Raw genomic sequence first — 9,889 nt, 5'->3', positions numbered from 1 at the left:
CCTCCCAGGCTCAAGAAATTTTCCTGCCTCAGCCTCCCGAGTAGCTGGGACTACAGGCGCCTGCTACCACGCCCGGCTAATTTTTGTTTTCAGTAGAGACCGGGTTTCACCATGTTGGCCAGGCTGGTATCAAACACTTGACCTCAGGTGATGCTTCCACCTCAGCTTCCCAAAGTGCTGGGATTACAGGCATGAGCCACCACGACTGGCCCTTTATTTGATTTGATCCAAGTTTCCTTATTTGATTTGATCCAAGGTGTCATATTCCTTCAGCCTGAAGAACTTTCTTTGCTATTCCTTGAGGTGAAGATCGTTAGTGACATATTTTCTCAAGTGCTAAAAGGAAAAAAAAAGTCAACCAGTAATTCTATATCCAGCAAAGGTGATCTTTTTTTTCTTTTAACACCTGAAGATGCTATTTCATTATCTTTTTGATTGCATTGTTTCTGACAAGTCAGCATTAACTCTTATCTTTGTAAGCCCTGTATGTAATGTGCCTTTAAAATATTTTCATATAACTGCTTTTAAGTTTCTCTTTATTACCTGTTTTCAACCATTTAATTACGATTTCTTTGTGATTATCCTGCTTTGGGATGTCAACATTCTTTGATCTATGAGTGTAAATATTTCATCAACTCTGGGAAATCTTGGACCTTTATTTCTTGGGAAAAATCTGCCCCACTTCATTGTGTATCTCCTTTTTTACCTATTTTAGACTATTTCATATTGTCTCATATGTCACTGAGACTGTTCATTTGTTAAAGTCTTTTATCTTTCTTCTTCACTTTGCTTCTCTTCTATGTTTTCTGTTGCCATGTCTTCAAGTTTGCTAATTTTGTATGTTTAAAATTATGCTCTTTGGCCTGGAGCAGTGGCTCACGCCTGTAATCCCAACACTTTGGGAGGCTGAGGCGGGCAGATTGCCTGAGATCAGAAGTTTGAGACCAAACTGGCCAACATGGCAAAAACCCGTCTCTACTAAACATAAAAAATTGAGCGTGGTGGCACGTTCCTGTAATCCCAGCTACTCGGGAGGCTGAGGCAGGAGAATTGTTTGAACCTGCAAGGTGGAGGTTACAGTGAGCCAAAATTGTACCACTGCACTCCAGCCTGGGTGACAGAGTGAGACTTCCTCTCAAAAAAAAATAAAAAAAATAAAAAATAAAATAAAATTATTATCTTTTTCAAACTTGCTGGGGTTTTTTTCTTGTAGACTCTAATTACTTCATTATAATTCCCAGTCCTTTTATCTCTTATCGTCTTACACCCTTGGAGCCCTTTCAAATTGTTCTTTTGCAGCATTATTTTGGTCCCTTTTAATTTGTTCTTTTGTCTTGAATTCTCGGGGTGATACTCCTTTGTATGTTGAGTCTGCTGACTCTCCTTCAAGATGAATTATTTCTTCACACATGTACATTTTAGAGCTGTGAGCTCATCTTCAGTGGAGATTGTCTTTGTCTATGGAATCAAGCTCTGTGTACTTGAAGTTACAGCAGTGTTGCCACAGAACAGAACTATGCTTTTTTTTTTTTTTTTGAGAATAAGTCTCCCTCTGTTGCTCAGACTAGAGTGCAGTTGTGCGATCTCAGCTCACTGCAACCTCCTCCTCCCAGGTTGAAGCAATTCTCGTGCCTCAACCTCCTGAGTAGCTGGGATTACAGGTGCACACCACCATGCCCAGCTAATTCTTCTGTACTTTAGTGGAGACAGGGTTTCATCATGTTGGCCAGGCTGGTCTTGAACTCCTGACCTCAAGTGATCCTCCTGCCTCAGCCTCCTAAAGTGCTGGGATTACAGGCGTGAGCCACCACTCCCGGCCTGAACTATGCATTTTAATGCCAAGAAAGTCCAGAAGTTTCACTACTGTGGGCTAGGTTTTGAATCTCCTTACCTTGGGGCTTATATAATGTGCGTAGTATTAATTTGGATCCAGTACCTACACATATATATTCTTGGTTTTTATTTTCTCATGAGAGGTTGTGGGGGGTTTGTTCTTTTGTTTGTTTTTCTTTTCTTTTCTTTTTTTTTTTAACCATCTAGAGGTCCAGGCAAAGACAGACGTTCTTGTTGTCTCCCTCCAGTGGTATTTCTCTAGTTTCTTCTCACATTAGGGAACAGCCTTTCCAGAGCCCCAGCTTTACACACATACTGTGGTTCCAGCTCCCCACCTGGGGTTGTCTGTGTCCTTGTCCTTTATTTCGGCAGATGTTACCCCCCAGCCCTGGCCCTGGCTCTGCATCTAGTCTGATAGGCTCACAGCTGCTTCAGCTTCTGCCATGAACTCACTTCTCTGGCCTTGAGTTGTTGCTCCAGTTCTGGTACTCAGGGATTTAAATTTCTTTTGTTCTTTCATGATCCGCCATGCTTTTTTTTTTTTTTTTTTTTAGACAGGGTCTCACTCTGTCTCCCAGGCTGGAGTGCAATGGTGCAATCACAGCTCACTGCAGCCTCGACCTCCTGGGCTCAAGAAATCCTCCCACCTCAGCCTCCCAAGTAGCTGGGACCACAGGCACATGCTACCATGCCTAGCTAACTTTTTCTATTTTTTGTAGAGATGGGGTTTTGCCATGTTGCCCAGGCTGGTCTCGAACTCCCAGGCTCCAGCAATCCACCTGCCTCAGCCTCCCAAAATCCTGGGATTACAGGTCTGAGCCACCATGCCCAGCTGCCATGCATTTAAAAATGCTTTATTAATTATTATTAACTACAGACTGAGTATCCTTAATCTAAACATCTGAAATTCAAAATGCTCCAAACTTTTTGAGTGTTGACATGACACTCAAAGAAAATACTCAATGAAGCATTCTAGATTTCAGATTTTTGGATTAGGGATGCTGAACCAATAAGCACAATGCAAACATTCCAAAGTCTGAAAAAAAAAAAACTGAAATTCAAAACATTTCTGGTCTTAAGCATTTCAGATAAGGGATACCCAGTCTGTATTATTATATTTTACCAAATGTTTCTGTATGTGTGTGGTGAGCAGGGGGTTCTGTTAGCTCAGCCCACCATGGTGCTGGGATTGAAGGCTCTATATTGGTTTTTTGACCATCATTTCTTTTCCAGTGATTCTGCTTTGTCTAGCTGAGAGCTACCTTCAGTCAAACTTCATATGTATTATTTAGTCTTTTATATGTCTCGGGTTTTCCCTGGGAGAATTTTTTGATCCTGTGTTCTAATTCACTGCCTCAGTTTTCTTTTTTCATTATCGAGTCTGTTGTTCACTGCCTCCTGCCTCTTTTGCATTTTATTTTTTTATTTGACATTCAAGCTCTCTTGCATATGAAAATTCAGTGATCAACTTTTTCATCTCCGAGAACATTTCTGTCCCTAGATTGTTCCATTTTCGTGTATTTTTTTTTTTTGCTCTCATGTTTTAGATGCAATTACCTCTGAAAATTGTGAATATGAATTAGATTCTTTACAAATTTTACTCTTTCTTGCACATCTCTGTTGGACCACTGTGGGGGTCATCCCAAATCCTAAATTTGGGGGTTCCAGAGTCCAATATACTTCTTAGAGGTTTTAATAACTGCCCTATAGCTCACCCTCATCCCCAGCCCCTGAAGTTCTGAGGTCTTAGCATCATTCTGCTAGACTCTGCTATCCATCGGCTCCTCAGATGAGATTTCCCTTTGCAGGAATCATGGGCTAGTCTCATGCCATTTCCTAGTTTCTCATAGTGATGGGGAGTTTTCCCTATCATGTTAAACAGCAGATGTGATGCTGAAAATCCACATGTTAGGCCTGTGACAATGTGAGTATAGATCATCATTTTATCACCCCCACTGTCCCTACCTCCCTGCCTCCTCTCCTGCCCACCTAACTCTAAATGCCCCTCTCTTACCCACACCTCCTGACACATGTGTTTTTGCCCTCACCTGGTTTCTAATGCACTTCCACAACCAAAACAGCCTCTATTCAGTGTGCCCTATATAAAGATGGGGAATGGCCCCTCCACATTCAATACAGTGAGGACTCTGTATTGCAAGGGAGAGAAAACCCAGTTCAAACTGGCATAAGCCAATGAAGGAAACATATTTGCTCACATAAACTGAAAAGCTCAGAGGTCTTGAAGCAGGCTGTTTCAGGGGTAGCTGGAGGGCCCAGTCTCCTGCCCCAGCCCTCAGCTCTGTTTGTCTCTCCTGGGCGTCTGTTTCCTTCTTGGTCTTTCCTAGAGGTGAGAAAGTAGCTGTCAGCTCCAGCAGAAGCGGGAGATCCCATGCACACAGTAAAGTTCCCTCTGGAGCTGCCTGGGTAACACTTCCATCTCTGAAACAGTCATTGTGGGCGGGGAGGGTGGTGACATGCTCCTAGTCACTGTTCTTAGCCAGAGACAGGCCCACATTGGGTGCCAAGAACTGAGATGAGAGCACAGGATCCTCAGAACAGGTCTGATTTATAGTTTGGGAGGCACTGTGTGCTGGGCCCATGCGAAATGTCCATTCAGATTGACGCAGGACAGGCAAGCCCCAAACTGGAGCTTAGCCCATTAGGGCTCTTGGCTTTGCCCAGGAAATAATTCAAAGGCAAGCCAGAGGCTGGGTGCCGTGACTTACACCTGTAATCCCAGCACTTTGGGAGGCCAAGGCAGGCGTATAGCCTGAGGTCAGGAGTTCGAGACGAGCCTGGCCAACATGGTGAAGCCTCGTCTCTACTAAAAATACAAAAATTAGCTAGGTGTGGTAGCAGGTGCCTGTACTCCCAGCTACTCGGGAGGCTGAGGCAGGAGAATTGCTTGAACCTGGGAGGCGAAGGTTGCAGTGAACCGAGATTGCGTCACTGCACTCCAGCCTGTGCGACAGAGCGAGACTCTGTCTAAATAAAAACAAAACAAAACAAAACAAAACAAAACAAAACAAATAAAACAAAGGCAAGCCAGAGGTAGAAGAAAACGCTTTCCTGAAGCAGCAGTGTTGCAGCTCCATCCCTGTTGCAGCTCTGTCACTGCTCCTGAGAGCAGGGCAACCCCATAGGCAGAGAGTAGCAGCTCAGAGCAGTTTTGCAGTCAGATTTATACCCACTCTTATCTGCATGCAGATTAAGGGGTGTTTTATGCTGAAATTTCTAGGAAAGAGGTAGTAACTTTTGGGTCGCTGTGTCATTGCCATGAAAAGGCAGGGGGTATCTTCCAGGTGTTGCCATGGCAATGATAAACTGACATGGCGCACTGGTGGGCGTGTCTTATGGAAAGCTGCTTCCACCTCATCCCTGTTTTAGCTAGTCCTCAATCTGGTCCAGCATCTGAGCCACACCTCTGGAGTTGAAACCCACCCCCTACCTCAAGACCTTCTACTCCTACCTCCTCAGTATCTACTCACATCTATTGTGAGATAATGGAGCTCGTGTTATGTAAGTGAGAGAAGAGAGAACAGGAGGTGATGCCATTGTGAGGAAGAAAGAGAACAGAGAGAATGCAGAAAATACTTCCCTGCCACCCATAGACAAGGCGTAAGCCCTGAGGCTTAGGGGATGGGGACTGGAGGCATGAGGGCTGCCCCACCTGGGGCTGTGCCTGTGGCTCAGAGGTGTGAACAGCCCCACCTGCCAGGGCTGTGGCTTCTCTCGTGGCCATGCTGGGACAGACTCCACCGTCTCTACCTCCCTGCCTCCTCACCTGCCCACCTAACTCTGAATGCCCCTCTCTTACCCACGCCTCCTGACACACTTGTGTTTTTGCCCCCACTTGGTTTCTAAAGCACTTCAACAACCAAAACAACCTCTATTCAATGTGCCCTACAGAAAGATGGGGAATGGCCCCTCCACATCCCCTGCACCTTAGCTGTAAGGTCCTTTCACCTCCTGCCTTTACTGAAGATACTGAAGGAATAAACGAACTCCAGCTTGGTGTCATTTCATGTACCCATTGCTGGAATAATGCAAGCTCTCTTCCATACCTAGAGCTTATTTAGGTGACCCCTGGTATAGACACACATTAAGGCCAACACAGGCTGGGGAGCTGGGCGTCCTGGGCTCCCACTTCTCCCTAAGGAGTCCCAATGTCCTTATTCCTTACCATTCTTGTTGGGCAAATATTCATTGAGCACCCCATAGGAGTCGGGCACTGTGTAAGGACATATAATAAAACTGACATCCTGTTCCAGAGGGGTAGCAGAGCACAGAGACGGCCTCCCAGAGTCCAAAGTGAAGTCCTCCATGGGCTCAAAGTCTCAAACTTTATTTATTTATTTGAGATGGAGTTTCGCTCTTCTTGCCCAGGCTGGGGTGCAATGGTGCGATCTCGGTTCACTGCAACCTCCGCCTCCCAGGTTCAAGCGATTCTCCTGCCTCAGCCTCCCGAGTAGCTGGGATTACAGGCATGTGCCACCATGCCCGGCTAATTTTGTATAATTAGTAGAGACGGGGTTTCTCCATGTTGGTCAGGCTGGTCTTGAACTCCCAACCTCAGGTGATCCGCCCACCTCAGCCTCCTAAGGTGCTGGGATTACAGGTGTGAGCCACCACTGCTGGGCCTCAAGCTTTATTTTTCAAAACTGCTTATTTTGAAATAGTTATAGATTCACAGGAAATTGCAAATAAATGTACAGGGATGTCCTGTGTACACTTCACCCAATTCCCTGCTATGGTAACATCTTATATAACTATAGTACAATATCAACACTAGGAAATGGACATTGGTGCCATGAACAGTTTATTTAGATTTTACTGATTATCCATGCCTTTGTGCGTGTGCATGCATGTGTGCGTGCAGGTAGCTCTATGCAATTTTGTCACATATGTAGCTTTGTGTGACCATCACCCCAATCAAGATATTTAATGGCTGGGCATGGCGGCTCACACCTGTAATCCCAGCACTTTGGGTGGCCGAGGTGGGTGGATCACTTGAGGTCAGGAGTTCAAGACCAGCCTGGCCAACGTGGTGAAACCCTATCTCTACTAAAATATAAAAACTACCCAGACATGGTGGTGGGTGCCTGTAATCCCAGCCACTTCATAGGCTGAGGCAGGTGAATTGCTTGAACCTGGGAAGCGGAAGTTGCAGTGAGCTGGGATCACGTCACCACGCTCCAGCCTGGGCGACAGACCAAGGTTCTGTCTCAAAACAAACAAACAAACAAACGAACGAACAAACAAACTTAACTGTGCTATTACAAGATTCCTAGTACTGCCCTTTTATACAAATACCCCTTCCTTCTTCCCCATCCTCCCTCAACCCTAACCCCTGGCAACGAGGAATCTATTCTCAGTCTTTATATTATTTTACAAATGTTATACAAGCAGATTCATGCAGTATTATTCTTTTGAGACTGGCTTTTTTCAACATAATTTTCTGCAGGTTCATTCATGTTGTTGTGTGTATCAGTAGATCATTCCTTTTTATTGCCAGTAGCACTCTATGGTATGAATCTATCACAGCTTGTTTAACCATCACCCACTGAAGGATATTTGGGTAGTTTTCAAGTTGGAGCTATTATGAATAAAGCATCTATGAACATTTATATACACGCTTCTACATAAAAATAAGTTTTCATTTATCTGGAAAAAAAATGCCCAAGAGTATAATTGCTGGGTCATACGATAAGTTCACTTTTAGTTTTCAAAGGAACTGCCAAACCATTTTTCAGAGTGGCAGAACTATTTTACATGCTCCCATCAGCAATGTATAAGTGATCCAGTTTTTCTACACGCCTACCAGCATTTGGTGTTATCACTACTTTTTTATTTTAGCCATTCTGATAGGAGTGCTGTAGTATCTCGATAAGTTTTAATTTGCATTTCTCTACCAGCTAATGATGTTGAGCATCTTTATTTGCCATCTGTATATCCTCTTTAGCAAAATGTCTGTGCAGATTTTATGCCTATTTTCTAATTTGGATTGTTTGAGAGTTTTGTTTCATTTTTTACTATTGAATTCTGAGGGGTTTTTTACAGTCTAGATACTAGTCCTTGGTCACATACGTGATTTGCAAATAGTATCTCTTAGTCTCTGTTTTGCCTCTTCATCCTTAGTCTTATGCAAAGCAAAAGTTTTTCATTTTAATGTTAATAAGGTCTGGTTTATCAAATTTTCCTTTTATGGATCATGTTTTTATAGATAATACTCAATCTTAGATTCTGAACATTTCCATATATACATATATGGAAACATATATATATATATATATGGAAACATATATATATATATATATGGAAACATATATATATATATATATATGGAAACATATATATATATATATATATGTTTTGACAGTCTCCCTCTGTCACCCAGGCTAGAGTGCAGTGGCATGATCTTGGCTCACTGCAACCTCTGCCTCCTGGGTCCAGGCAATTCTCTTGCCTCAGCCTCACAAGTAGCTGGGATTACAGGCACCTGCCACCATGCCTAGCTAATTTTTTGTATTTTTAGTAGAGACGGGTTTCGCCATGTTGGCCAGGCTGGTCTTGAACTCCTGACCTCAAGTGATCCGCCCACCTCACCCTCCCAAAGTGCTGGGATTACAGGCGTGAGCCACCGTGCCCCGCCTCCTCTTATATTTTCTCCTAGATGTTTGATAAGTTTACATTTTACATTTTAGTCCATGATCCATTTTTAATTTTTGTATGAGGTGTGAGACAAGTTGAGTTTCATTTTTCTGCCTATGAATGTCCAATTGCTCCAGCAGATTTAGTGAAAAGTGTATTTCTCCTCCATTAAATTCCTTTTGCTCCTTTGTCAACTGTTAGGCATCTTTATGTGAATCTACCTCTGTATTCCCTATTCTGTTCCACTGATCCATATGTCTATCCCTAGGCAGTACCACATTGTCTTACTCACTGTAGCTATGTAGTAAAATCTTAAAATCTTAACACCAGTAGAGTGTTTCCTTCCACCATATCCCTTTTTTTCTTTTTTCAAAATTGCTTTGGCCAAGCTAGGTCTTGTATCTTTTCCTATAAATTTTATTATTTTATTTTATTTATTTATTTTTTTGAGACAAAGTCTCACTGCAGCATCCAGGCTGGAGTTCAGTGGTGCGATCTCGGCTTACCACAACCTCTACTTCCTGGGTTCAAACAATTCTCCTGCCTCAGCCTCCCGAGTAGCTGGGACTACAGGCATGCACCACCATGCCCAGCTAATTTTTGTATTTTTAGTAGAGACGGGGTTTCGCCATGTTGGCCAGGCTGGTCTCAAACTCCTGACCTCAAGTGATCTGCCTGCCTCGGCCTCCCAAAGTGCTGGAATTACAGGCATGAGCCATCGTGCCCGGCCTAAATTTTAGCATAAGCTTGTTATGTCTACAAAATTCTTGCTGAGAATTTGGTAAGAATTGCATTAAACCTATAGATCATTTAGAGAGACTTGACATTTTTACTATGTTAAGTCTTTTGATCCATGAATTTAGTATGTCTCTCCAACTATTTAGGTTTTCTTTTATTTCTTTCATTACCATTTTGTAATTTTCATCATACAGATTCTATACATGTTTTGTTAGGTTTACAGCTAAGGATTTGATTTTCTTTGGAGCAGTTTTAAGTGGTATTGTGTTTTTTATTTTGATTTCCACTTGTTTGCTGTCAGTATATAGAAATGCAATTGATTTTGTATGTTAATCTTGTATCCTGCAACCTTACTGAACTCACTGAACTTTTTAATTAGTTCTAGGAGTTTTTTGTAGATTCCTTGGGATTTTCCTTGTAGACAACATGTCATCTGCAAACAGAGACAGTTTTACTTTTTTCCATTCCAATTTGTATGCTTCTTTCTTTTCCTTGCCTTATTGCAGTGGCTAGAACTTCCAATATTATGTTCAATAAAAATGATAAGAGTGAACATTCTTATCTTGTTTCTGACCATAGGGGAAACCATGCAGTCTTTTGCTATGAAGTATGATGTAAGCTTTAGGTTTTTTGTAGATGCCCTTTATGAGGTTGAAGAAGTGTCCTT

The sequence above is a fragment of the Homo sapiens genome, chromosome 19, assembly GCF_000001405.40.
Source record: "Homo sapiens chromosome 19, GRCh38.p14 Primary Assembly".
NCBI classification, from domain to species: Eukaryota; Metazoa; Chordata; class Mammalia; order Primates; family Hominidae; genus Homo; species Homo sapiens.
The sequence above is the reverse complement of the archived record's forward strand: the minus strand, read 5'-3'. Positions refer to the sequence as shown.